Source organism: Homo sapiens, chromosome 3 (genome assembly GCF_000001405.40).
Source record: "Homo sapiens chromosome 3, GRCh38.p14 Primary Assembly".
Classification (NCBI taxonomy): domain Eukaryota; kingdom Metazoa; phylum Chordata; class Mammalia; order Primates; family Hominidae; genus Homo; species Homo sapiens.
In genome coordinates, this window is record NC_000003.12 from 113,375,815 (window position 1) to 113,402,670 (window position 26,856).

At 37.5% G+C, this 26,856-nt stretch overlaps 1 protein-coding gene and 1 long non-coding RNA gene across 8 annotated transcripts in view, besides 1 other annotated feature; both read right to left on the reverse strand.

The window, feature by feature from the left end:
- The window catches only part of SPICE1-CFAP44 (SPICE1-CFAP44 readthrough (NMD candidate)), a 228,227-nt gene that overhangs the window by 88,885 nt on the left and 112,486 nt on the right, over positions 1–26,856 (reverse strand). For 3 of the 6 annotated variants that reach the window (NR_183050.1, NR_183049.1, NR_183047.1), the window contains 8 exons: positions 25,770–25,925; positions 25,426–25,473; positions 24,731–24,830; positions 24,092–24,186; positions 20,704–20,913; positions 19,936–20,046; positions 5,085–5,246; positions 3,492–3,737 (listed from right to left, as the gene is read on the reverse strand). This is a non-coding gene — a long non-coding RNA (SPICE1-CFAP44 readthrough (NMD candidate)). The remainder of the gene's footprint in view (positions 1–3,491; positions 3,738–5,084; positions 5,247–19,935; positions 20,047–20,703; positions 20,914–24,091; positions 24,187–24,730; positions 24,831–25,425; positions 25,474–25,769; positions 25,926–26,856) is intronic. The other 3 variants (NR_183046.1, NR_183045.1, NR_183048.1) reach the window with 2 other exon arrangements.
- Positions 1–26,856, reverse strand: part of CFAP44 (cilia and flagella associated protein 44) — a 154,585-nt gene that overhangs the window by 88,885 nt on the left and 38,844 nt on the right. For both annotated transcript variants that reach the window (NM_001164496.2, NM_018338.3), the window contains exons 10-17: positions 25,770–25,925; positions 25,426–25,473; positions 24,731–24,830; positions 24,092–24,186; positions 20,704–20,913; positions 19,936–20,046; positions 5,085–5,246; positions 3,492–3,737 (exon numbers count right to left, since the gene is read on the reverse strand). In NM_001164496.2, the coding sequence (NP_001157968.1) occupies positions 3,492–3,737; positions 5,085–5,246; positions 19,936–20,046; positions 20,704–20,913; positions 24,092–24,186; positions 24,731–24,830; positions 25,426–25,473; positions 25,770–25,925 (1,128 nt within the window). The remainder of the gene's footprint in view (positions 1–3,491; positions 3,738–5,084; positions 5,247–19,935; positions 20,047–20,703; positions 20,914–24,091; positions 24,187–24,730; positions 24,831–25,425; positions 25,474–25,769; positions 25,926–26,856) is intronic.
- Positions 1,428–1,722: a silencer, noted in NCBI's record as "tiled region #3247; HepG2 Repressive DNase matched - State 9:DNaseU". NCBI's record gives its function as "represses a minimal TATA promoter and a strong SV40 promoter by Sharpr-MPRA in HepG2 cells {active_cell/tissue: HepG2}" and the evidence as "EXISTENCE:reporter gene assay evidence [ECO:0000049][PMID:27701403]".

Here is a 26,856-nt window from a genome sequence, read left to right on the forward strand (position 1 = left end):
ACTCTGTCTCAAAAATAAAAATAAATAAATAAATAAAATCACCTCTAAAAGAATAGTAAAAGAATGTATAACTAATAATCTAGTAGAGGAAGAAAACTGTGGAAAAAATTACCTAATCACTCAATAGAAGGTAAAAAAAAGGGAAAGAAAATAAATTTAGAATGAGTGCGACAAATAGAAATAATTAGTAAGATAGTAGATTTAAACTAAAATATATTAGTAATTACATTAAATATAAATGAACATAGTACTTTTTTAAAAGACAAATATAATCCTATAGGATTCTTTTAAGCCTAACCATATACTGTTTACAAGAGACCTACTTTCGATATAAGGGTATCAAATAGTAAAGGAAAGAGAAGAATCCTTAATAACGTCGAGGTTTTGGCATAGTAACTAAGTGGATGATTGTCTCATTTACTGAGATGGAGATGGAGCAGGTTTGTATGGGACATGTATGGTTTAAAAGTAATGTCTTGGACAGGTTAATTTTGAGGTGCCAAGGAGCATTGTCAAGTTGGATATACAAGTCTAAGTGGAGGGGAGAGGTCAGGACTAGAAATAAATATTTGAGATTCACTGGAAGATAAGTGATATTTAAAGCCATGAGACTGTGTAGTTACCTTAGCAAGAAAGAGGGGGCCCAAGGCCGCACTCTGGAGTATTTCAAACTTCAAAGCTTGTTCTGCACATGAGAAGCCAGCAAAAGAGGCTGAAATGGAATGGTCAGAAGAGTGTAATGTCTTAGAAGCCAAGAGAAGAAAGCATTTGAGAAGTATGAGGGGTCAACTCTGTTAAATGTTCCGAAAAGTCAAATGGACAGAGAATTGACCTCTGAGCTTATCATCATTAGTGAAGTGATGGAGATATCCCAACTGGAATGGGTTGAAGATCAAATAGGAGGTGAATAAGTTAAGCCAATGATTACAGATGATTCTTTCAATAACTTTTTATGTAACAGAGCAAGGGGGGAAAAGGAAAGAGAGGTTCAGGAAATAAAATTAAGATTAGTACTAGAGCATGTTTGTATGCTCATGATAATAACTGAATAGAAAAGACAGAAACTGATGATACAGGAGACCAAGTGGTTTATCTCAGGAGCAAAGTTTTTGAGAAAATGAGAAGGGATGGGATCAAGGAGCCATTGGGAACAGTGTCCTTGGAGAGTTGCAGGAGACTGTTCTCCAATTATAACAATAGGCAAAGCAGACAAAAGGAATATAGATCCCTATAGGGTGTTACATCTAATTGAGACAAGAAAAGGAAATTCCATCTGCTTTTATTTTTTTCTGTGAAATGTGAGATGAGGTTATCATTGAAGAGTAAGAGAAGGTACAAAATGCTTGAGGGGAGAAGAAAGACTTAATGTAATAATTTGGAAAGTGAATATGGCTGGGCAGTAGAATTGGCCTGCAGTGTGAGTATTGATTTGAGAACTGCAGTCAGTACTTCAAAATGAAACTGGTTTTTCTTCACCATTTGTTTGGCTGCAGGCACAGAGTTGTCATATTGTTGACTCAAGCTTTGCTACCTCTGTTAACTATGTTTTAACCTTGTTCACCAGTGTAGCTTAATGGTTGAGGGCATGAACTCTGGAGCCAGATTGCTTGAGTCCAGATTCTAGTTTCACTTCTCATTAGTTATATGGCCTCAGATAAAATGCCTAACATTTCCATGCCTTGGTTTCTTCATATATAAAATGCAAAAAAAACCAGCACTTATTTTATAGTTGGTTAAGTAAATTACTTAGAAAAATACCTGATACAGAATAAGTAAGTTGTCATATTCAGCAAATGAAAATAAAGGACATCTATTAAATTTAAATTTCAGACAAACAAAAACATATATATATTTTTTGAGACAGAGTCTTGCTCTGTCACCAGGCTGGAGTGTAGTGGCACAATCTCGGCTCACTGCAACCTTCACCTCCCGGGTTCAAGCAATTCCCCTGCCTTGGCCTCCCGAGTAGCTGGGACTACAGGCACCTGCTACCATGCCCGGCTAATGTTTTGTATTTTAGTAGACACAGGGTTTCACCATGTTGGCGAGAATGGTCTTGATCTTCTGACCTCGTGATCCACCCGCCTCGGCCTCCCAAAGTGCTGAGATTACAGGTGTGAGCCACTGCACCCAGCCAAAAATAATTTTTAGTGTAAGTATGTACTATGTAATTTTACTTGGAAACCCTAAGAGTAAGCACTAAATATGCGTGGAGTTTTCTGTTTGTGTTTTGTTGTTGTTGTTTGAGATGGGATCTCACTATATTACACAGGCTGGTCTCGAACTCTTGGGCTCAAGCAATCTTCCCAATCTTCCCAATTATGTTTGTTAAATAATGAGTAATTTTTGCATCTATATTTCCAGGACACTGGAAATTTATTGCATTGTATTACATTAATTGTTTCTGTACCTCTTTCCCTCAAATGAAGACTTCCTGAAGGCAGGAACCATGTTTTCTTTATCCCTTTATCCTTTGAACTCCATACAATAGTAGCCATTTACAATTGTTTTATAAAACACAGACGACAGGCAGAAAGGGTAGAGGAACTAATAAAGGATGTCCTATGATGTCTCCAATGCTATTTTCCATCCTTCTTTCTGCTTGCCTCCTTAGTAATACAAAAGTTACATTTCTAGGAAAAGTTGAGGAGGGAAAAAGTCAACACTCATCACTCCTTACAGCAATAGTCCTTGGCTAGTCAGTGTCCTGGCCTGGCTAAAGACCTAGGACCAGGGATGAATTAGTAATGATCTTCCACACACACTTTTATGAAATTATTTTTGGTGGAGGGAACTGAAAATTGTGACAAAATTATAATGAAGGAAATCTTGCTTTGCAGTAGATCAATAGAATATTTCAAGCAAATAGTAAAAAATGTATAATTGGAGGATATACTCCTACAGCCTTGTGATAGGCCCTGGTACTTTCTTCCTAATATCCATTTTTCCCTTCTTCCTTATGAGCCAAGTTCTGATTTTGTTCAGGGTGGCACTTAGACCATCTAAAAACACTTATCTTCCTAGACTTGCATATGACCCCACAGCATAGTTGTAGATAATGAGAAGTAAGAAAAGTCTACTGGATAGTACTGCCATGAAAGCTATTCTTTTCAAAATTAAAAAACAACAGTCTTGGTTGGAAAAACCCCTAGCCTTTTGCCTTTCTACGCTTGATCCTTCTCCTCTTTGACCTGCCTGGAACATGTATGATTGACAAGCAGATAATAGATAATCTATAATCTATAGATTTATCTGTACAATTATCTGCACAAGAAGACATATAAAAGAGATGTTAAGATTATTTAAAAACAACTATATCCCACATTCATTCATCAAAACTCACGACTTCAATAGTATTTAATAAATGAAATCTAAAAAAAAATAAATAGATAAATGAAATCTTAACATAAGAGTAAGAAAGAATGAAGTTACAATAACTATAAACTATATTGAAATATGATTGAGGTAAAAATTATTACATTGTTACTTACCAAAGAAACCCAGAACTTCCCTGGCTCTGAGTAAAATCCACAGAGGATGGGAGAGGGGGTTGACGGAATAAATATTTCAGGTAATGGCTCTTCTTCCTCCTCCTCCTCCTCTTTCTCCTCTTCCTCCTCCTGAAATTCTTTTTCTCCATCTTCTCCCATCTCTGCTGCTAGCTTGTTCCTCCTTTCTTCCCTTATTTTCTCCTTCAACTCCCTTTGTCTCTCCCTCTTTTCAATTTCTATTAATCTCTTTTAAAATAAACATTAAGTAGGTATAAAAACAATTATGACTCATTCGTTCATTTACACCATTAGGGATGACAATGAAAATAGAAAGAAGATACACAGCTCTGTAACAAATAATATTTAAAAATACTCACCAATGCGAGAATATATTTTTATCATTAAAACTTTTAAATCATTAGAATGACTCATTTTTGTTTTACCCCCATCAATCTTGGTTTTATAGAAATTATTTGGTCATTTTTTTCATAATAGAGAAGCTAAATATAACTTCTCTTAGAGCCTATCACTGTTAACCCAGGAATTAGGTAGACTGAAATAGTCCACAAGGAAAGTTGCTTCCAACTTCAGTAATACTGTGAGTTTGGCCTTCATCATCTATCAATTGTCCTTTGCAAAAGCCCTCTGACACTGGTATTTCCGCCTCCCATCTTTTACTACTTCATTCTGTTCACCCTTCAGAATAATCTTCCTAACTTATTTTTTTAAATTTTATTTATTATTATTATACTTTAAGTTTTAGGGTACATGTGCACAATGTGCAGGTTAGTTACATATGTATACATGTGTCATGCTGGTGCACTGCACCCACTAACTCGTCATCTAGCATTAGGTATATCTCCCAAACTTATATGATATCATCACATCAATCCCCTCCTCACAAACTCACAATGGATCCCAGTGGTCTAAAATGAAATGTCTTGGCTGGCATTTAAGGAGCTCCATGCATTGGTCACAGACTCTTGCAACATCCTTCAACAAATTGCCTCCCTATATTTTATTGATCTATTCCTCATTTCTTGAAAACACTCACAACTCTGCATTCTCTTGGGATGTTCTTCCAGCCTTTATTGCCATCGCCCTATTTTCACCTCTCAAAATTCCCCCTATTTTTTTTTTCTTGAGACAGGGTCTCACTCTGTCACCTGAGCTGGAGTGCATTGGTGCAATCACAGCTCACTGCAGCCATAAACTCCCGGGCTCAAGCGATCCTCCCACCTCAGCCTCCCAAAGTGCTGGGATGACAGGCATGAGCCAATGTGCCTGGCCCCTCCCATTCTTTAGGTACTAAATGTCACTTCCATGCAGTCATCTTTGACCTCCTCCCATCCCTCTATCAGGATCTTCTCTCTTTTCCTCTGCAGACCCCTAAAATTTCCTTCTTTGCATTTTGATTTCAGTATCTATTTACTACTGCCTTCTAATAGCTGCTTTCCTACCAGATTATAAACTCCTTAAGTTCAGGGCCTATGTTTTATTCTTTTGTGTATTCCATCAGCACTTAACATAGGATATTTTATATTCTAAGGAAAGGAAATTATTATAAGATAATGCTTCAGGAATATTCCATACCAGAATCTTAGATTTGACACTTGAAAAATGGAAACATTTTATGCACATGTCTTTGATTTCATAGGAGACTACATCATGATCATCCTCTTCTTGCTTTATGGTTGGAAGTGGAGCTTCAAGAATATAGCCATTTTCACAGATAATTAGTAAAGTACTTTCAGGCTAAAAAAGAAAAATTGAACATATTTACATTTAGGCAAATTTTTAAAAGCATAGTTTAAAGAGATTATAAATAAAAATATAATTACTATGTATATTAGCCATGTTTAAAACACACTTAATTCCTCACTGCAGTTATTGGTAAAAAGTCAAGTTTATTAATAATTATTATATTGTCATAGTACTAATTATTGTTATATCATTATTAAGTGATTAAAGATTAATAATTATTAAAATTAGATTTACATTTGGTTCCTTTATAGATGCTATAACATATGTGATTCATATATGTTTTCTGATTTTCTGATGAATATATGTGGTTGTGAAATCTGTTAGCCGAAAGGACCAGATATTAAAATTAGGACTGCCAAGGAAACTCTGCGTGTGTGGATGGCGTAGTCAGTCCCATCCTACTTTAATGGCTCATCCTCTATCTGTCTCAGTTTAACAAACGTGGATGTTCCCAAGGTTTTTGTCCTCTTCCCTCTTCTCTGCCTCCATAAGCATTTTCTGGGAAATCTTACAACCTTCATTACCACTTACATGCAATTAAATTTCAAATTAATCTCTCCAGCCCAGACCTGTCTCTTGACTTCAAAACCATGCATTTAATCATGAATGGGAAATCTCCATCTTGATATTTACAGATACTTTATTTGAAATGTTTATTCATTTGGTTATTTCATTCTACAATTATTTGTTGTGTACCTACTATGTACTCAGCATTTTCTTAAGTGGTAGGGATAAATTTATAATAAGAAAAACATATAATATCTGCCATTATGTAGCTTACCTCCAATGGAAGCTTGTCATTTAGCAAATCAGGTAAATAAATGTAAATTGTAATTGCAGAAGTCCTGCAGAGGTGTCATAAGAACAAGTAGGTTGTATAAAGCTTTCAGAGAAAGTGGTATCTGAGCTTCAAGGTAAAAAATGTATAAATTATAATTATATAATGAGTTAAGGGAGGGTTTGAGGGAGCAAGTCCTCAAGGGAAACACCATGTGCAAAAGTCCTGTGGAACATTTGCTTTTATAAGAAAATTGTGGCTTGGATGGCATCACCTAGGGCAAAAGAACAGAATGAGAGGAGAGATTGGGAGAGCCTTAGGGAAACTTAATACTCAATGACTGAGTGAAGGAGACTGAGAAAGAATGACAAGATGTGGGAGAGGGAACCAGCAAAGCATAGTATCACAAAAGTGAAAGCGAGATGGTATTTCAAAAAGTAAGGAAAGATTGACAGGATCAAATGATGCTAAGAGGTCAAGAAAGATAAGAACTAAATGTTAAATGGATATTATTGGTGCTTTTAGAAGAGCTGATTTGGTGGAATGATGAGACTAGAAGTCAGGTAAGAGCACATAAAGGAGAGAGTGATAGATAAGGAAATGGAATCTGAGAATAGTCAATCCTTCTGAGAAAGTTGGCTGATTAGAGAAATATGGTAGTAGCTAGAGGAGAATATAAGATCAAGGAAGTTATATTTTGTAAGTGGGAGAAACAGGAACATATTTAAATACTGAAGGAAACAATCCAATAAACAGGTATGATTAAATTTCTATGACAGAAAAGAGAAATAATGTAAAATATTGAAAAAAAACTGGGAGAAAGTAGAAACAAAAGGGCAAGAGGCAGAATTGGCCTTAAGTAGGAAGGGAGACAGCTTCTCTACTGCAAAAGAGGGACGAGGAGCAGGTGAATACAGAGGTAAATGGGATTTTCCATTTGGTAGTGGGAAATGAAAAAGTTCCTGCCTGAGGGCTCCTGGTTTTTCTATGATGTAAGTGATGCTGAGAGTGAATTGGGAGCAAAAGGCTTGAAGCTTTGTGGAGAAGAAAAGTTCTAAAATGGTCACCATGTGTGAAAGAGGGAGTTGATAAGAGCAATGTCATAGGATTGCTGAACGATTTCATGGATTATGTCCAGGCCATTTTAATCACTAAATTATAGAGGAGCTAATCTTCATTGACATATAACTATCTCCAGCAGCCTTTGGCTGATTACTATAGGCAAATATAAAGTAGTTGGGGAAATTCAGAGATGGACTTTTGCTAGATGGGTATGAAGAAAAGACAGAGGGATAAAGGAAATCAGGGCATTGGAAGAATGTTATTGATCCTTGTTTGTCTTAGTCAGTTCAGGCTTCTATAATAGAATACCATAAACTAAGTAGCTTAAATGACAGAAATTCATTTCTCAGAGTTCTAGGAGCTGGGAAGTCCAAGATCAAGGGACTGGCAGATCCAGTATCTGATAAGGGCATTTTTCCTGCTGCATCGATGGTGGTCTTGTATGCTCACAGGACAGAGAGAAGAAACTCTGGTCTCTTCATCCCCTAATAAGGAAACTAATCCCATTCACAAGGGCTCCACCCTCATGACCTAATTCCCTCAAAGGCCCCACCTCCAAATACTATCACATGGGGAATTTAGGCTTCAACATATAAATTGGAGTGTCAGGAGGAGCATAAACATTCAGTCCATAGTATTATTGAAATAAAGAATTATAAATTTTAAGCTGGATATGGAAGGAAATGAAGAAAAGAGTGAACTATTAAGTTAGGAAAAGCAAATGGTAAATGAAATACAGGTCTCTGTGTCGTGAAAGAACTACTTGGAGATAACAGTGGCAAATAAATTGTCTCAAAAAGACAAAGGGTGAACTCAGAGTAAAGGCTAGTTTAATAGCTGACCTTTTTTAAAAAATTATACTTTAAGTTCTAGGATACATGTGCAGAACGTGCAGGTTTGTTACATAGGTATACACGTGCCATGGTGGTTTGCTGCACCCATCGACCCATCATCTACATTAGGTATTTCTCCTAATGCTATCCCTCCCCTAGCCCCCAACCCCCTGCCAGGCCCCAGTGTGTGATGTTCCCCTCCCTGTGTCCATGTGTTCTCATTGTTCAACTTCCACTTATGAGTGAGAACATGTGGTGTTTGGTTTTCTGTTCCTGTGTTAGTTTGCTGAGAATGATGATTTCCAAATAGTTGACTTTTTTTTTTTTTTCTTCTGAGACGGAGTCTTGCTCTGTCACCCAGGCTGGAGTGCAGTGGCATGATCTCAGCTCACTGCAAGCTCTGACTCATGGGTTTACACCATTCTCCTGCCTCAGCCTCCCAAGTAGGTGGGACTGCAGGTGCCCGCCACCACGCCTGGGTAATTTTTTTGTATTTTTAGTAGAGACAGAGTTTCACCGTGTTAGCCAGGATGGTCTCGATCCCCTGACCTTGTGATCCACCCACCTTGACCTCCCAAAGTGCTGGGATTACAGGTGTGAGCCACCATAACTGGCCCCAAATAGTTGACTTTTAAGCTTGAGCTCTTATAGTTGTTATGTGCTGAATTGTGTCCCTTCAGAAAAAAATTCATATATTGAAGTCCTAACCCTCAATACTTCAGAATGTGACTGATAGATCTTTGGGGATAGATCTTTAAAAGAGATAAGTTAAAACAGGGTTGTTAGGGTGGGCCCTTAATCCAATATGATTGATGTCTTTATAAGAAAAGGGGATTAAGACACAGACAACACAAACATAGAGATGACCATGTGAGAACACAGCAAGAAACAGCTGTCTGCAAGCCAAGCAGTGGTCTCATAAGAAACTAAATCTACCAACACCTTGATTTGGGGCTTCTAGCCTCCAGAATTGTAAGGAAAGAAATTATGTTGTTTAAGCCATCCACTTTGTTGTATTTTGTTATGGTAGGTCTAGCAAACAAAAACACAGTAATAAGTATCCAGTGGGTAGCTGTGAAAGTGTGTGGGCAAACTATAAAAATCATGGAAGATGAGGGAGTCAAGAAGTTCAGAGTCTGATGCTGTTTGATCGATTATCCACATGGTTAATATCTAATATGGTTTGGCTGTGTCCCCACCCAAGTTTCATCTTGAATTGTAGCCCCCACAATTCCCACATGTCATGGGAGGGACCTGGTGGAAGGTAATCGGATCATTGGGGCAGGTCTTTCCTGTGCTGTTTTCATGACAGTGAATAAGTCTCACAAGATCTGACAGATTTATAAAGAGGAGTTCCCCTTCACAAGACTTCTTCTTGCCTGCCGCCATGTAAGACATCCCTTAGCTCTTCCTTTGTCTTCCACCATGATTGTGAGGCCTCCCCAGCCATGAGGAACTGTGAGTCCATTAAACCTCTTTTTATTTATAAATTACCCAGTCTTGGGTATGTCTTTATCAGTAGTGTGAAAACAGACTAATACAATTTCATTCAGAATACTTGTTTGCACTTTTACTAGAGAGAAAGACAACCATATTCTTAAAATTCAAATAAAGAAACAGGATCAACCAGGTAGTCAGAAGATGATAGCAATGTAGAAAGAAAAGATGTTATAGGTGAATGACAAGAGCCTCAAAGAAAGAGAGTTTATATTTTATGATTTTCTTTCTTTTTTAAAAAACTTCATTGTATGTGGTAAAAACAACATTTGATCTATCCCAGAGAAAGTTCCATATCACTTGAGAAGAATGTGTATTCTACAGCTGTCGGTGGACTGCTCTGAACACATCTGTTAGGGCTATTTGGCCTATGGTGTTATACAGGTCTTCTGGGGTTTTGTTTGTTTGTTTGTTTGTTTTGAGCTGGGGTCTTACTCTCACCCAGGCTGGAGGGTGGTGGTGTGACCTCAGCTCACTGAAACCTCTGCCTCCCGGGTTCAAGCGATTCTCCCACCTCAGCCTCCCCAGTAGCTGGGACTATAGGCATGCCACCACAAAGCTAATTTTTGTATTTTTTTTTTTTTGGTAGAGACAGGGTTTCACCATGTTGACCAGGCTTGTCTCAAACTCCTGACCTCAGGTGATCTGCCTGCCTCAGCCTCCCAGAGTGCTGAGATTATAGGCATGAGGCACTGCGCCCTGCCTCTGTTTCTTTATTGATTTTCGATCTATATGTTTTATCCATTATTAGAAGTGGGATACTGAAATCTGCTATCATTGTATTACTGTCTATTTCTCCCTTCATCTTTCTCAATGTTTGCTTTATATATTTAGGTGCTCTGAGGTGGGATGTATATATATTCATAATTGTTATATCTTTCTGGTGGACTTATCTTTTATTATTATAAGATGTTATTCTTTGTATCTTATGATAGTTTTTTATGTAAAGTCTATGTTGTCTCATATAAATAGAGCAATCCCTGCTCATGTTTGGTTACCATTTGCATGGAATGTCTTTTTTCATCTCTTCACTTTCAACCAAGTTGGGTCTTATTTTTTTTATTCATTCAGCTTCTCTATGTCTTTAGATTGTGGAGTTTAATCCATATACATTTAAAATAATTATTGATAGGGAAGGATTTACTATTGTTGTCTTGTTCATTATTTCCTATTAGTCTGTAGGTCTTTTGTCTGTCTTTTGTCTATTGCTGTCTTCTTTTGTGTTTGTCATTTAAGGCAAAGAAGATCAAGTTCAAAAGCATATTACATGAAACAGTGAAGAACAAAGAAGATACAGAGGAAGAGATGCCTAGGTTGTACAATCAATAAGTCTTCCTGAACTACTGAAGGGCAAGGTGGTTAGAGGCAGGGACAAGGCTAGAATAGGGAGGAGGCAGAGCAAGATGGCTGATTAGAAGCCTCCACCAATTGACCTCCCCACAGGAACACCAAATTTAACAACTATCTACACACACACAAAAACACCTTGCTAAGAATCAAAAATCAGGTGAGTGATGACAATACTTGGTTTTAACTTTACATCACTGAAAGAGGCACTGCAGAGGGTAGGAAAGACAGTCTTGAATTGCTGACACCACTCTGGTGGCTGTGTGGCATGAAGAGATAATCTGGGTACTTGGGGGAAGGACAGAGCAATAACTGTGAGACTGCATCAGAACACAGTGCTGCCTGTCACAACAGAAAGCAGCTTTGGGCACAACTCAGCCAGTGCCCACAGACAGAGTATTTAGACCAGCCCGAGTCAGAGGGGAATGGTTCAGCCCAGTAGTCAGAACCTGAGTTCTGGTAAGCCTCACCACCATAGCCTAAAGTGCTCTGCGATCCTAAATAAACTTGAAAGGCAGTCTAGGCCATAAGGACTGCAATTCCTAGACAAGTCCTGGTGCTGTACTGGGCTCAGAGCCAGTGGATTTTGGAGGGCATGCAATATAGTGAGACACCAGCCTGGGTGGCCAAGAGAGTGTCTGTGCCACCTCTTGCCCAACCCCAGGCAGCACAGCTCGCAGCTCTGGGAGATAATTCTCCCATCTGCTTAAGGAGAGGAGGGGGAAAAATAAAGAGGACTTGGTCTTGCAACTTGGATACCAGCTAAGCTACAGTAGGTAGGGCACCAGGAAGAGTTGTGAGGCCCCTATTCCAGGCCCTAGGTCCCAGATGATATCTCCAGACACACCCTGGGACAGCAGGGAACCCATCCCCTTGAAGAGAAGGACTCAATCCTGGCAGGATTCATCACCTGCTGACTAAAGAGCGCTTGGGCCCCGAATAATCAACAGTGATGGCCAGGTAGTACACACTGTGGGCCTTGGATGAGACTCTGGGACAAGCTGGTTTTAAGTATGACCCAGCACATTCCCAACTGTGGTGGCTATGAGGAAGGACTCCTTCTGCTTGAGAAGTACGGAGAGGGAAGAGTCAAGGGTATTTTGTCTTGCAGTTTAGGTACCAGCTTGGGCACAGTGGAATAGAGCACTAAGTGGGCACCTGGGGCTCCCAATTTCAAGCCTTAGCTCTTGGACACCATTTCTGGTCCTGGGCCAGAGGAAAGCCCACTGTCCTGAAGGGAAAGACTCAGGACTGCCAGCATTCGCCACAAGCTGACTGAAGAGCCCTTGGGCCTTGAGTGAGAATCAGCAATAGCCAGGGAGTACTTGCCACAGGTCTGGGGTAGTGGCAGCCTTGGGAAGAGACTTCTCTGCTTGTGGAAAAGGGAGGGAAGAATGGGAAGGACTGCATTTCATGGTTGGAGTGCCAGTTCAGCCACAGTAGAATAGAACACCAGGCAAATTCCTAAGGTTTCTGACTCCAGGCCCTGACTCCCAGACAGCATCCCTGGACCTGCCTGACGATCTCACCACCCTGAAGGGAATACAAGCCTGGCTGGCTTCACCACCTGCTGACTGTAGAGACCTAGGGACTTGAGCAAACATAGGCAGTAGCCAGGGAGTGGTTACCACAGGCCTTGGGCAAGACTCGGTGCTATTCTGGCTTCAGGACTGACCCAGCACAGTCCCAGTTGTGGGAACTTGCTTATTAGTTTGTTTATAAAATCAGTGTTAAGTTGTCATCAGTTAAAATAACAGGTTATAAGATATTATTTGCAATCCTGATAGTAACTTCAATGAAAAAAACATACAATGGATATACAAGAAATTTAAAACATACCACCAGAGAAAATCACCGTCACTAAAACGTAGATAAGAAGGAAGGAGAGAAGAAAGAGAAGACCACAAATCAACCAGAAAACAAATAACAAAATGGCAAAAGTAAGTCCTTACTTATCAACAATAGCATTGAAAGTAAATGGACTAAACTCTCTAAACAAAAGAAATGAGATGGCTGAATGGATTTAAAAAACAAGACTCAGTGATCTGTTGCCTACAAGAAACACACCTCATCTATAAAGACACATATAGACTGAAAGTAAAGGAACAGAAAGATGTTCCATGCAAACAGAAATCAAAATAGAGTAGAAATAATTACACTTACATCAGACAAAAATAGATTTTAAGACATAGAAGGTCATTATATAATGATAAAGAGGTCAATTCAGTAAAAGGATATAACAATTGTAAATATATATGCATCCAATGCTGGAGAACTCAGATATATAAGCCAAATATTATTAGAGCTAAAGAAAGAGATCAACCCCAATACAACAATAGCTGGAGATTCTAACACCCAACTGTCAACACTGGACAGATCATCCAGGCAGAAAATGAACAAGGAAACATTGGACTTAATCTGCACTATAGACCAAATTGACCTAATAGATATTTATAGAACTTTTTATCCAATGGCTGCAGAATACACATTATTCTCCTCAGCATATGGATAATTCTTAAGAACAGACCATATGTTAGTCCACAAAACAAGTCTTAAAACATTCCAAAAATTGAAATTATATCAAGTATCTTCTCTGACCACAATGGAATAAAATTAGAAATCAATAAAAAGGAATTTTGGAAACTACATGAACTCACAGGAATTAAACAATATGTTCCTGAATGACCAGTGGGTCAATGAAGAAATTAAGAAGAAAATTTAAAAATGTCTTGAAACAAATGACAGTAGAAACACAACATACCAAAACCTATGGTATACGGTGAAAGCAGTACTAAGAGAAAAGTTTATAGCTATAAGCAACTACATCAAAAAAGATAGAAAAACCTCAAATAACTAATGGCATATCTTAAAGAACTAAAAAAGCAAGTGCAAACCAAACTCAAAATTAGTAGAAGAAAATAAATGAAAAAGATCAGAACAAAATTAAATGAAATTGAAAGAAAACAAAAGATCAACAAATTAAAAAGTTGTTTTTTTCAAAAGATAAATTGACAAACCTTTAGCCAGACTAACAAAATAAGAGAGAGAAGCCTAAAATATATGAAATCAAAGATGAAAAAGGAGACATTACAACTGATACCACAGAAATTCAAAGGATCAGTAGAGGCTACTATGAGCAACTTTATGCAAGTAAATTTTAAAACCTTGAAGAAATAGTAAAATTCCTAGACACATACAACCTACCAAGACTGAACCATGAAGAAATTCAAAACGTGAACAGACCAATTATGAGTAATGAGATCAAAGCCATAATAAAAAAATTATCCTAGCAAAGAAAAGCCTGGGACCCAATGGCTTCACTGTTGAATTCTACCAAACATTTAAGAATACCAATCATGCTCAAACTATTATGAAAAATGAGGAGAAGGGAATACTTCCAAACTCATTCAACAAGGCCAGTACTACCCTAATACCAAAGCCAGACAAAGGCACATCATAAAAAGAAAACTATAGGCCACTATCACAGATGAATATTGATGCAAAACCTCAACAAAATACTAGCAAACTGAATTCAACAACACATTAAAAAGATCATTCATCATGGCCAAGTGGGAATTATCCCAGGGATGCAAGGATGGTTCAACATATGCAAATCAATCAATGTGGTACATCATATCAACAGAATGAAGGACAAAAATCACACCACCATTTCAATTGATGCTGAAAATGCACTTGATAAAATTCAACATCCCATCATGACAAAAATTCTCAAAAGACTGGGTAGAGAAGGAATATACCTCAACACAATAAAACCCATATATGACAGACCTATAGCTAGTATCATACTGAATGAAGAAATACAGAAAGCCTTTCCTCTAAGATCTGAAACACAACAAAGATGCCCACTGTTACTGCTGTTATTCAACATAGTACTGGAAGTTCTAGATAGAGTAATCAGATAAGAAAGAAATAAAGGGCATCCAAACTAGAAAGAAAGAAGTCAAATTATCCTTGTTTGCAGATTATATGATCTTATATTTGGTAAAATCTAAAGACGCCACCAAAAAACTATTAGAACTGGTAAACAAATTTGGTAAAGTTGCAGGATACAAAATCAACACACAAAAATCAATAGCATTTCTATACACCAACAGCAAACAATCTGAAAAAGAAATCAAAAAAGTAATCACACTTATAATAGCTACAAATAAAATAAAATACATAGAGATTAACTTAACCAAAGAAGTGAAAGATTTCTACAATGACAACTATAAAATATGGATGAAAGAAATTGAAGAGGAACAAAAAAAGGAAAGATATTCCATATTCATATATTGGAAGAATCAATATTGTTAAAATGTCCATAGTATCTAAAGCAATCTACAAATTCAATGCAATGCCTATCAAAATAGCAATCACATTCTTCATACACATAGAAAAAAAATCCTAAAATTTATACAGAATCACAAAAGACTCAGAATAGACAAAGCTATGCTGAACAGAAAGAACAAAGCTGGAGAAATCACATTAGCTGACTTCAAGTTATACTACAGAGATACAGGAACCAAAACAGCATGGTACTGACATAAAAACAGAAACACAGACCAATAGAACAGAATACAGAATGCAAAAACAAATCCATACATCTACGATGAGCTCATTTTTGACAAAGATGCCAAGAACGTACATTGCACAAAGAGCAGTCTCTTTAATAAACAGTTTTGGAAAAACTGGATATCCATATGCAGAAGAATAAAATGACCCCTATCTCTTGCTATATACAAAAATCAAATCAAAATGGATTAAAGACTTAAACTTAAGACCTCAAAACTATGAAACAATTAAAAGAAAACATTGGGGAAACTCTCCAGGACATTAGACTGGGCAAAGATTTCTTGAATAACACCCCACAAGCACAGGCAACCAAAGCGAAAATGGACAAATGGAATCACATCAACTTAAAAACCTTCTGCGCAGCAAAGGAAGACATCAATAAAGTGAAGAGAATTTCTTTTAATTCTCTTCATAAAGTGAATTAAATTCTCTAAATAAAGTGAAGAATATTTCTCTCACAGAATGAGAGAAAATATTTGCAAATTATCCATCTGACAAGGAATTAATAACCAGAATATATAAGGAGCCCAAACAACTCTATGGGGGAAAAAATCTACTAATCCAATTTTAAAATTGGGAAAAGTTCTGAAGAGACATTTCTGAAAAGAAGGCATGAGAATGGCAAACAGGTATATGAAAAGGTGCTCAACATCACGAATCATCAGAGAAATGCAAATAAAAACTATGATATATCATCTCATTCCTGTTAAAATGGCTTTTTTCCAAAAGACAGGCAATGCCAAATGCTGGCAAGAATGTGGAGTAAATTATACTGTTGGTAGGAATGTAAATTAGTACAACCACTATGGAGAACAGTTTGGGGTTCCTCAAAAAAACTAAAAATGGAGCTAACATATGATCCAGCAATCCCACTGCTAGGTATATACCCAAAAGAAAGGAAATCAGTATATTGAAGGAAATCAGTACATCTGTACTCCCATGTTTATTGCATCACTATTCACAATAGCCAAGATTTGAAAGCAACCTAAGTATCCATCAACAGATGAATGGATAAAGAAAATGTAGTACATATACACAATGTGTACTCTTCAGCCATAAAAAAGAATGAAATCCTATGATTTGCAACAACCTGGATGGAACTGGAGGTTATTAAGTTAAGTGAAAAAAGCCAGGTACAGAAAGACAAACATCACATGGTCTCCCTTACTTGTGAGCTAACAATTAAAACAACTGAACTCATAGAGATGGCGAGTAGAATGATGGTCAACAGCAGCTTAGAAGGGTGGTGGGTGTGGCGGGGGGTGGGGTGCAAATTGGGGATGGTATATGAGTAAGAAAAAATACATAGAATGAATAAGATATAGTATTTATTAGCACAACCGGGAGATTATAGTCAATAATAACTTATTGCACATGTCAAAATAACTAAAAGAGTATGAGTGGATTGTTTGTAACACAAAGGATAAATGCTTGAGGTGACGGATATCCCATTTACCCTCATATGATTATTATGCATTATATGCCTTATCAAAATATCTCATGTACCCCATAAATACATATATCTACCATGTATCCACAAAAATTACAAATAATAATAATAAAGACCAGAATAACTCTCAAGATTCTGGCTTTAGTGACAGGGAAAATGAAGTCCAAGAATAATACGGGAGGAAGAACATGTCTTAGAGAAACTATAATGAACTCCATTTAGATACCTCAAAATTGTCTTCACAAAAATAAAAGATCACCAAGTTCTGTCAATTCTCTCTTCTAAATATCTCTTGTCTGCACAGTCTTTCATGCTCTAGTCACATCACAGCTGCCCAATAGATCCACCTGCCCCTGACCTGGCTCCCTTGTATCTTCTCCACACTGCTGCCAAAGTGAACATGGTAGTAGCCATGGCAGACAGAATGGCTCTGTGTGTACATGGGACGCACCCTTACCAGAACCACTCAAAGCCATCAGGCAGAAGCTTAATACGTTATGCTCAGATATGAGATCTGATATTTCAGCTGGTAAGGGCTAAGACCTATTGCAATTTGGACAATTAAAGTCTGTAGCAGGTCAGTTACATACAGTAATTTACTTTTTACTTTAGTAATTTGCAAATGACATTAGAAATACAAGTGCTAGCAAGCAGCACTGCCCAAAATGACTTTTAAATTATGCTGAGTGTTTTGGTCTTGTACGTTACAGGATGTTTGTCCCCTCCAAATCTCATGTTGGAATTTGATCTCTAATGTTAGACATGGGGCCTAATGGGAGGTGTTTGGGTCTTGCGGGTGGATGCCTCATGAATAGATTGATGATTTCCCTAGGTGGGGAAGGGGGTGGGTTCTTGTTCTATTCATTCCCAGGAGAGCTGGTTATTAAAAAGAGCCTGGCACCTCCCCACTCCCTCTTTTGTTTGTTTGTTTGTGATAGGGTCTCACTCTTGACACCCAAGCTGGATGGAGCGCAGTGGCACGATCTTGGCACACTGCAGCCTCAAGCGATCCTCCCACCTCAACCTCCCGAGTAGCTGGGACTAGAGGCATGCACCACCATACCTGGCTAATTTTTGTATTTTTTGTAGAGACAGGGTTTCACTATGTTGCCCAAGCTTGTCTCAACTGCTGCACTCAAGTGATCTACTTGCCTTGGCCTCCCAAAGTGCTGGGATTACAGGCGTGAGCCACCGCGCCTGATCTCCCCACTCTCCCTCTTGCTTCCTCTCTCACCACATGATCTCTATACAGGCTAACTCCTTTTCACCTTCTGACATGACTACAAGCCCGTGAGGCCCTCACCAGAAGAAGATGCTGGCACCATGCTTCTCGTATAGCCTGCAAAGCCATGAGCCAAATTGCCCAGCCTCAAGTATTCCTTTATAGCCATACAAATAAACTAAAAATTACTTTTAATTTTTTTAAACTTATTTTGAAATAAGTATAGATTTACAGGAAGTTGAAAAGATAGTACAGAGAGGTATCACATACCCTTCACTCAGTTTCTACCACTGGTTACATGTTATGCAACTATACACAACCACCCAGGACATTGACATTAGTATAGAATGTGTGTACAGCTCTACAGCATTTTTTCATATGTATAGATTTATGTAAGCATCATGACAATTAAGACACAAAACTATACCATCACCACAAAGGTCTCCTTCAAGCTACTTCTTTAATGTCACACCTACTCCCCTCCCACTCACCACCCCAACCCCTGCCAAATGTTGGTTGATCTTTTTAACTTTGTATCTAGGGAAGTGAATGAAGGATGCACATAATATTATATGTTGTGATATAAACATTCATGCTTTCTCACAGAGCTTCCTTTGCAGCTATCACTCCCCTCACCTGAACCATCTGTAGCTATCTCTTATTCATTTGGTCATATCCTACCAATTTCTCAAAATCAAGGTACAATAATACAAAATAATAACTTAATTTTAACTTCTTCCTTTCTTGATAGTTCCCTGCTCTAAATTCACAACACACATTCTCTATACCAGGGGTGTCCAATCTTTTTGCTTCCCTGGGCCACACTGCAAAAAGAAGAATTGTCTTGGCCCACACATAAAATACACTAACACTAACAACAGCTGACGAGCTAAAAAAAAAAATTGCAAAATATCTCATAAAGTTTTAAGAAAGTTTATGAATTTGTGTTGCGCCTCATTCAAAGCCCACATGCATGCAGCCCACAGGCTATGGGATGGACAAGCTTGGTCTACACCATTGATATTTTAGTCACCAATTCCTTTGTGAAACCTTATTATTCAATGATAAGGTATATTTAACTTTTTAAATGTATAGTTTTTTCTCCTTGAGAGACTACTTTGTACTGCTTATTTAATCCACTACAGTGCCTAGAAAAGATAGAAACAATGAGTATTTGTTGACTAACTTCAAAAAGCATTTTGTAGATAATACTAATATATTTTATGGCCCTTTTATTTAGAAAAGCTTAAAGTGGATTACCAACGTTACTCCAATAATCCTGATGGCACTTCTATGCAATTCATCAGTATTATCATCTTGGCACCTGGCACAGCACTTGGTTTAGACAGTCAATCAATATTTAGATGACTGAATTCTCATATGCTCACATTTAGTAAAACTGGAGACATTAAAAGAGATTAGTAATCAATACCGAATTACCAATTGCTAAGAAAGAAGAAATAAAAGGATAGAAGAGAAAATAGATGTGGATTGAGGGCAGAGGAGAAGTAAAGAGATAAAGATGAGGAAAAGTACATTCAGACCTTAGAATTCAGCTTCTGATTGTTAGAGAGACTGACTGATCCAGGTGAAAGCATTTCGACATGCTGTGCCTGTGGCCAAAAGTCCCGTTGGAGCAAAGCCTGATATAACCCTGGTTTTTGAGAGAAGATCATGGTCAACTAATAAGCCCACGGAAGAGAAAGGAGGCAGTGAGGAGAGAGCAAGGCTCCTGAGTGATGCTCTACGGGCCAACCCCAGCAGCAGCCACCTGAGCTTTCTGTTGCCGCATCCCTGACCCTCACTGCAGGAACCAGGAGTGGGCTAAAAATTCCACCTGCTATTTTCTATCTACAAGATAGTTTCACTATGTAGTAATTGAGATTCAAACAGGAAGACAAATAATAATGACTTACATGAGACATGGGAGACCACATTAACTGACACACAGGTCCAGGAGTATTAATATAACCAATCGGCTTATAATCCCTTTCCACTTCAAAGAAGAAAACAGTTTGATCTTTACTCTAAGGAAAAAGAGACACACCGACGAAATATATATTACTATGAAATCTAGCCTATAGATCACAAAAAAGCATGTAATAACATAACGCTATCTCTATCTACAATGGTCATATATCCCAGATTATTCTAGGAGAATTCTTATTTCTAAAACTTGCTCAATTTTCCCCATTAGAGCATTTGGAAAACCATGTGTTTCAGTATGTGGTTCTGAAAATATGATCACCATACTTTCAGAAATTCACACAAAAAAATTATACCATGCATATGCTCACCTATTAGTGCATAAAGAATTTACACAGTTATTCTCTTCATTTATGGCAATTCTATATAAGAACATAACTATGCTGAATAAAATACTGATTATAAATAATACAACTAGCATGGTCCCCAGTTGAAATTTTCAATTCACCTAAAATAAGCATTAGAATTCAATTTGTAAGAATATTTTTAAGTGTTATTCACATGCTCCAGCTCTCTTCTGATTAAAAAGAGGGTTATTCACAGACTACGCTGAAAGAATATGACTACAAAGAAAGCAAAATGTGAATATATTGATAGAAAATGAATTTCAGTAAATAAGACATGATGAAGTAGGAGGACTTATAAGGCAATTTAACTATAAAATTTCAACAAGAAAAGAAAGGAAATGTACTGCTTACCCCTGTGGCTAGAATTTCCCCATCACGTTCATAAGCTAAAGCAGTGACACAAGCAGTATGGGGTTTGAAAACCTGTTTCAACTGAATATCAGCATCCAAAATTTTCTTCCGTCCCGCAAAAATCGTGAGCCCTTTTGGATCATAAAGTTCAAGAATTCGAACAACTCCATCTTCAAATCCTACAATAATTTGTGCTCCAGTGAAGTTTACCTTGGAGAAAATTAAAGATAAGGGACCTGAAACTAGTTAAATTGAGAAAGTTGTACTATATAACAGATATTTTATTTAGACTCAGGTAATTTAATATTGGCTGCCCATTGGCAATTCTTTATATCACTTTCTGGTAACCTCTATCCATTCCAGCATAGTTCCTTATAACCAATGACCACAGGAAGGATAAACAACATTAATTCAAACACTGAATGAACAAACAGCAGAGTGTCTGCCTACCACATGCTAAGCACCTATCATCAGCAACTCAGTGGTGAATATAAACCAACTCAGTGCTTGGTTTCACAGAGTTTTGGTCTAGTGAAAGGTGCAGACATTAATCACATAAATGAGTGTGAAATTGTGAACTGAAATAAGTGCTAAAAGAAAGAAATGTATTCTCTGAGAGCATATAACAAAGAAGGCTGACCTCGACTTATGGCTTCCCTAAGAAAGAGATGGTGGAGCTGATAACAAAAGGATGTTCAGGAATTAGCTAGGTACAGGAAGGTGGCACAAGCACTCCTAAGAGAGAATTTAACTTGTGCAGAAGTCCTGTGGCAGGAAATAACAGAACTCAAGAAAAAGTTATAGTCTGACTAGAGTAAGAGAACAATGTTTCCCCAGGAGGCTGGAGAGGAAGAGAGGCAGGCCAGGCAGCAGATCATAAAATGGCTTCCATGTCACAATAAGAAAAGCCTTCATCCCAGAGCAGTGGAAAGCCATCAAAGTGTTTTTAGTTGGGTTCCAGGGGGAAGTGGTAGTGACATGGTCAGATTTGCTCATTTTAAAATGACATCCTAGCTGCAGTATGGAAAATAGATATGAGGTGGTTTGGATAGGATGCTGGGAGAACTTTTGAAAGATCTTTTAAGATGGCTTCTACACTTCAGGGGAACTATTGGTCTGAGGTAATGTAGTGAAGATGAGGGATATGAACATATTTTAGGAAGAGGTGTAATGGCCCTACTTGGTATTACTGGATATGGGGAATGAAGCAGAGGGAGGAGTCAAGGATGACTGATAATGGCACTAACTGTGACAGAAAACACTGGAAGGGAGCCAGGTGTGTGTGTGGTTTGTAGTTGCTATTGTTGATTTAGAGAGAGGGATGATTGGGGATGTGCAGAAGATCATGGACTTAGTTTTGGAAACACGGAGTTCGAGGTCCCCTTGAGATTTTAAAATAAAGATATCATAGTCTGCAGCTTAGAGGAAAAGTCTCAGCTAGACATGTAAACCTACCAATGTTGGAATGTACCAAATCTACTGTCTTGGAAGAGCCTGGGCATCCTGTAGAGCTCAGTGACCATCAGTTATGAGAATTTAGGGAATAAAAAAGCTGTACACCATTCAACTTCAGTTGAATGTTGTTTATCCAATAAAAATTTACTACGTGTCTAAATGTACCAGTAACTATAGAGGCACTGGAGATGCAAAGAAGAATAAGGCATGGTTGTCACCATGAAAAACAGTCTAGTGGGAAGACAATAAAGCACATAATCTTAGTATGCTCTGATAAATGCTGTAAGAGATATACACACAAGCACTAAGGGGAAGAAAATCACAGAGGAAGGAGGCCCTAACTCTACTTGAAGGTAGATTCATGGAGGGCTATGCAGAGATGATGTCTGACCTGAGCTGAGTCATAAAAACTGATGTGTAGCCTTCCAGAAAGGCAAGGGGGTATGGAGAAGGGACATTTTAATTGTAGCTTAAAATCCATATGATCATTACTCGAATATAAGCCTAAAAAAGGAAACATGCTGTGAACATTACACGATCATCTGAATAAACAATTCAATTACCTGGATTGTAGTTTTAAGACTTCAGTTAAGAGTGTAACTAGATTAGGATAGTGAGTGAGCTAGGTCTGCCAATCTAAATGCTCTGTCATTTCTACTTACTCTAGCCTCATCATGAAGATGGCTCTCTTCCCTGGACTAAGTTCTCTTTCTGATCTTGATCCCATCATGAAATTCCCCCTAATTCCAATTATATCCAAATTTACTTTTAGCCTGGAATATTTTCTCTTTAATTTCAACCCAAAATAGTAAAGATTAAATATTTCCCCAAATACTTCCATGGCATTTTAAAAATATGGCTGCAAATCTTTGATGGGCCTCCCATGGACAGATGGGGTTTAAGTTCCCTCCTCTTGATTCTGTATGGGGCTTGTGACTGTGTGACTGCTTCACCCAATCAAGTATGGTAGAAGTGATATTTTGACTTCTGGGGAATGGGCCATAAAAGGTCATCAGCTTCTGCCTTTACAGTTGGAACACTAGATCTTGGAGCCCTGAGCTACCATGTAAAAAGTGTGTGACTGTCCTGAGGCTTCCATGTTCTGATGAAACCTAAGCCACATGGAGAGGGTGTTAGGTATAAACACTCCAGTTGGCAGTCCCAGCTTAGCCTAGCCTTCAAGTCATCCAACCCAGGTGACAGCCTTGTGATCAAGAAGCCTTTGGATTATTCCAGGCCCAGCCATTCATGTCTTCCCAGCTGAGTTCCCAGACACTCTGAAGCAGAGACAATCCATCTCTGCTGTCACCCGAATCCCAACACAAAGACTACATGAGCAAAATAAAATGATTATTTTATGCCACTACATTTTGAGATAGTTTATTACACAGCAATTGATAAATGGAACAACTCCCTATCTCAGCCTAATTTTTTTCTATAGTTCTTATAATTATCTAACATAACATGTACTTAACTTACTTATTTTGACTACTATCTGCCTCTGCCTCCCTCCCACTAAAGCGTAAGGTCCATGAGGGGCAAGTATTTTTTGTCTTTTTATTCACTGCTATATTCCCAGAATCTAAAACAAGGCCTGGCACATTGTCGGCACTCTGTAAATATTAATAGAATGAATGAAATCAGAGTCAGATGGATCGAGGCTAGATACACAAAGTTCTGTTGGGAAATTGCTTTGCAACATGAAACTGTTACAAATCTACAGGTGGCAAAAAATTTCACTAAAAACAAGACCAAACCCATAACAACAATCATGGTAAAGATTTCTATTACATTCTGACTAAAATAAACTAACTTAAAACTTTTATTATTCCTTAAAATTTTGAGTCAGCAAATATCTATATTTCCAGAAAATAGCATTGATATACCATATTTACCAATAGATTCTGGTAGTTCATTATAACAACAAACTTACCATTCGGGGTACCCAAACAAGGGCAGTACCTCCTTGTTTGAATTTCATCTGGGCCAAAGGAGTTTTGCTAGCAAAATCATAGATTCGAACAGAGCCTATAGAAAGACAGTTTTAAAAGAAAAAAAATTATATACATAATTTTTTTAAGTCTTGGCTCACTTTTTACATGTTGAATATTATAACAAGAAATTTCTTAACTAAATCAGTCAATAACTTTCTTTTGTAAAAAATTTCAGGTACAACCTCAAACAGGTAATTCATAAACATGAATAATAAAGAAGAAAACAGATGATTGACTGCTGGGTCAATTTCACCTTGCATAGTCCATATAGATTTGCCATAAGTTAAGAAGGAAGAAAGGAGACGGAAAGAATAGAAAAAACACAAATGTGGACAATATCAAAACGAGCAGCATTTTCATGAGCAATTTACAGATTTTGTCCTTCTTTTAATCTCTCACAATAACCATGGCTGCTGTGTTTTGTGGCCTCTCCTCTCCACAGCTCAACTCGCTTGCATTCAAGAGGCTCCCCTTTTGGGAAAATCCCCAAATGCTCTTAAGTCAAACACATATAAAAATTTTATTGCAAATAAAACAAAACAAGGCCAGACATATTTTTATTAAGAGTTCCTACTTACAGTCCAAGGCAGTTGTGGCCATGAGATAAGTGAGAGGAGAAACAGCCACGGCTTCAATAGCTCCAGAATGGAAGGAGAAGAGGCATTCTGGGTCCTGGGTCTGAGAATAGATAGACAGCTTACTAGATCTCAAAGACAGAGTAACAAAGAATTAAGATCAAGTTTAAAAAAATGCAAAGATAAAAATATAACACATGTGATTTTATTTGGATAGAAATAAGAAAAAGCCTAAAAAGTTAGAAAGAACACTGGTTCAGAATTAGGAGAACCAGATAGAGTCCTGGGCTTTGTCCTTAATGGCTGTGTGATTTTGCGCAAGTCACCTCAAATGCCAGTTTCCATTTCTTCATCTGTAAAATGAGATGGTAACAGCTGCTTGTCTACTAAATAGGGTAGTGATGAGGATCACATGAGATAAAATACATGAAAATTCTATATATTTATAAAAACTATAAAGTACTATATAATGTTAGGTATTGACACGGCCACTTTTCTGGTAAATTGTGTTATGAGATAGATTCTTTTTTATGTAAAATCATAACGAGAGAGAGAATTCTCAAGAGTAGCACATGTTAGGCAAGTTTTTTATGAGGACCATGATGAAATATGGAGAAAGATAAAGAATACTTTAAAGACAAATAACAAAAGTTTTTACTATGAAAGTTAGGAGAAAATAAGAATAATAGGCAACTTACAATATTTGAAAAACTAAGGTCAAGCTTCCATATGGCTCCATTGGCATCCTAAAAAAATTAAATAGTATTTTGTTTTATCATTTTAAACTTTCATCAGATTTTTTAAATGTTCTTTCTATGTTTTATTAAAGTAAGGACAAGCAATAATATCAAAAGCTCACATATATTTTAAAGTATAATTGAAATTTAATAAAAACAACTTCTATATTTTAGACTAAAGCCACACAATAAGCAATCTCATAACACTTACAGTCAAATGGACTTGTAGCCAAATCAATCATACTACTACTTTAATTTTTGGTCCATGTAATGTTAAAGAGCCAAGAGACAAGAATGCAACACACCTGAGCCAACCAAAAGTTATTTCCAGTTTCATTCATTTTTATCATAGAGAAGAGATTCACATTCTTGTCTACTTGAAGTTCATTAATAGGCTCAATCTCCAACAATCCAGTCTCATCTATTACATCAGCAGTGTCTATTGTCTCAAAATCCCATATCTTGTAAAATGAAAAGAAAATACTTTAATCGATCAGTAGTTTCTGAACATTTATTTTCTAAGCCAGAAAAACCCTGATTTTTTTTTCAAAAGTCATTTCTTTTTCTTTCATGAAAAGTAACAATGAACAAGTGTGATAAGAACACCAGCCAAAACCTGACCCCTGAAATTTTACTCTGAACTGAGGTATGATAAGCTATTATAGTTTCCTTTATATTTATAAAGATTAGTGAGAAAGTACAGCCTTGCATAAGAATTCTAATTTATCCAAAACAAATTTTATTTCAAGGTTTCTATTAGGTCTCTTTTTACATAAAGTGGCCATAGGAGTATATGGTTCAGTTGTTCAGCAAGACATTATAATGAACCCTGTTTTCTACATACCAGCAGGCCCCTGGAAGGGGGAAATATACCTTCTTGCTTAATGACTCAAGCACTATCTCATTAGAAGCAAAGAATATAGATGTAGATAAAGTCTCCATTAGAAAATGTTTCTCTTCCTGAATATTAATATTTCACACTTTACTATCTCATTGGGAAAATCTGGCATTTCCCCAAGTGCATACCACCAAACATGTCTCAGTAAGTGAGACAGTAAATGTTACTATCTGACAGTGAGACAGTGAAGTGTAGATTGTTGTTCATTGGGAGAGGAGTCTAGAATACTATAGGAAGAGTGAAGGAGCACAGTTTTACCTCACGGTGGCAGGGAGGCTCAGCAGGACCTCCCCTGTGAGGGGCCAAAGCTCATTCTGGACAGTTCTGGCAACATACCCTGCCATGTGATCCTAGACTGAATAACTGAGACTTTGAGAAAGGAACTCTGGGAAGACTGTCCCATAGATTAGCCTGGTTGGGGGAAGAGGGAAATATCTGAGGGTCAGGGTTAGGGTTAAGGATCAAACTAGGATCAGACTAACCCCTGGGAGTTG